The sequence below is a fragment of the Homo sapiens genome, chromosome 2, assembly GCF_000001405.40.
Source record: "Homo sapiens chromosome 2, GRCh38.p14 Primary Assembly".
Classification (NCBI taxonomy): Eukaryota; Metazoa; Chordata; class Mammalia; order Primates; family Hominidae; genus Homo; species Homo sapiens.
In genome coordinates this window covers 85513119-85514709 of record NC_000002.12, presented here as the reverse complement: position 1 = coordinate 85514709, position 1591 = coordinate 85513119, and the positions used below count along the sequence as shown (strand labels likewise).

At 46.1% G+C, this 1591-nt stretch overlaps 1 annotated feature.

The window, feature by feature from the left end:
- Positions 1183–1362: a silencer, noted in NCBI's record as "fragment chr2:85740471-85740650 (GRCh37/hg19 assembly coordinates)". NCBI's record gives its function as "represses an EF-1alpha promoter that drives an FKBP-Casp9 reporter gene in an ReSE screen in both phorbol 12-myristate 13-acetate-treated (for megakaryocytic differentiation) and untreated K562 erythroleukemia cells {active_cell/tissue: K562 | K562(+PMA)}" and the evidence as "EXISTENCE:reporter gene assay evidence [ECO:0000049][PMID:32094911]".

The window sequence follows — 1591 nt, the reverse complement described above, 5'->3', positions numbered from 1 at the left end:
CAAATCATTACTACCCTGTTGGGTACAACATATTAAAAATGTTTTTATCTTAGCTGTCTTATCTGCCTGGGTTTGGGATAGATTTTAGGATTTAATATTATTGGGTCACGTAATATCATTATGTTTATCAGAGTGAAATCTAGTTTAGCCTTTTGCGTACTCAATAAAAACCATCGTGAATTTTAGAAAAACTGCTCAGAGTTCATATTTGAGCAGTTGCGTATTGGCAGCAGCATCTTGATATAAAAGACAACTTGTTATTTTTACGCATTCTGGAATTGTGAAACTTAGAAAGCACATTATGTTTTTTTTTTTAAAGATTATGTTTGTTTAGTGCTTTATATCTATTATAATCCTTATGAAAGCCCCGTGAAGCAAGTGTGTAAGAACTGGCATTTTAGGCTGGGCACGGTGGCTCATGCCTGTAATCCCAGCACTTTGGGAGGCCAAGGTGGGCAGATCACTTGAGGTCAGGAGTTCAAGAGCAGCCTGGCCTACATGGTGAAACCCCGTCTCTACTAAAAATACAAAAATTAGCCGGGCATGGTGGCAGGTGCCTGTAATCCCAGCTACTGGGGAGGCTGAGGCCAGAGAATCACTTGAACCTGGAGGGTGGAGGTTGCAGTGAGCCGAGATCTTGCCACTGCACTCCAGCCTGGGTCACAGAGCGAGACTCCATCTCAAAAAAACCCAAAAATAATAAAAATAAAAATAAAATTTTAAAAAATAAAAAAATTAAAAATAAATAAAGATGAAGAAACCAAAGCCACGGGGCCTAAGTGGTGTGACCAGGGTCACTGGACTCATTGGTGGCTGCATTGGTCAGGGTCTTGGCAAGAAACAGAGGGCACACTCCAGTTGGGTAATTTCAGCAGAACCTAATAAAGGAACTCTTTACAAAAATAGGGGCAGGGTGCAGGGAAGCCACAGGGACAGTGTGTTGTTGTGGGGAGCTACATAGGCTTGCCATGGAGGGAGGAAGGAGGGCCAGGTCACCAGAACTGGAGAGGCCTGCAGTGTCAGTGCACAGAGACCTCCTAGGTCTAAGAACTCAGGATAATTAACACCCAACCCCTCTGTCCTCCCTCCTTCTGATCCCCTAAAGGAGACCCTCGTTGGCCTTATTGGAAGCCAGAGGGCAAGGGAGCCTGCTGAGGTTTCTACACAGGTCAGTCTCCTGGGCACTGAAGAGAGAGAGTAGGGAGTGGCTCCCGGATGGAGTAGGCAACAGAAGATATCCAGCACAGAGGTGAATCCATGAGTAAACCTCAGACTTCCTTTAAAAAAATAATAGTAGGGCCGGGCGTGGTGGCTCATGCCTGTAATCCCAGCACTTTGGGAGGCCGAGGCAGGTGGATCACCTGAGGTCAGGAGTTCGAGGCCAGCCTGGCCAACGTATAGTGAAACCCCGTCTCTACTAAAAAATACAAAAATTAGCTGGGCATGGTGGTGCACGCCTGTAGTCCCAGCTACTTGGGAAACCAAGGCTGGAGAATCACTTGAACCCGGGAGGCAGAGGTTACAGTGAGCTGAGATCATACCACTTTACCCCATCCTGGGCGACAGAGTGAGACTCTAACAAAGCAAAACA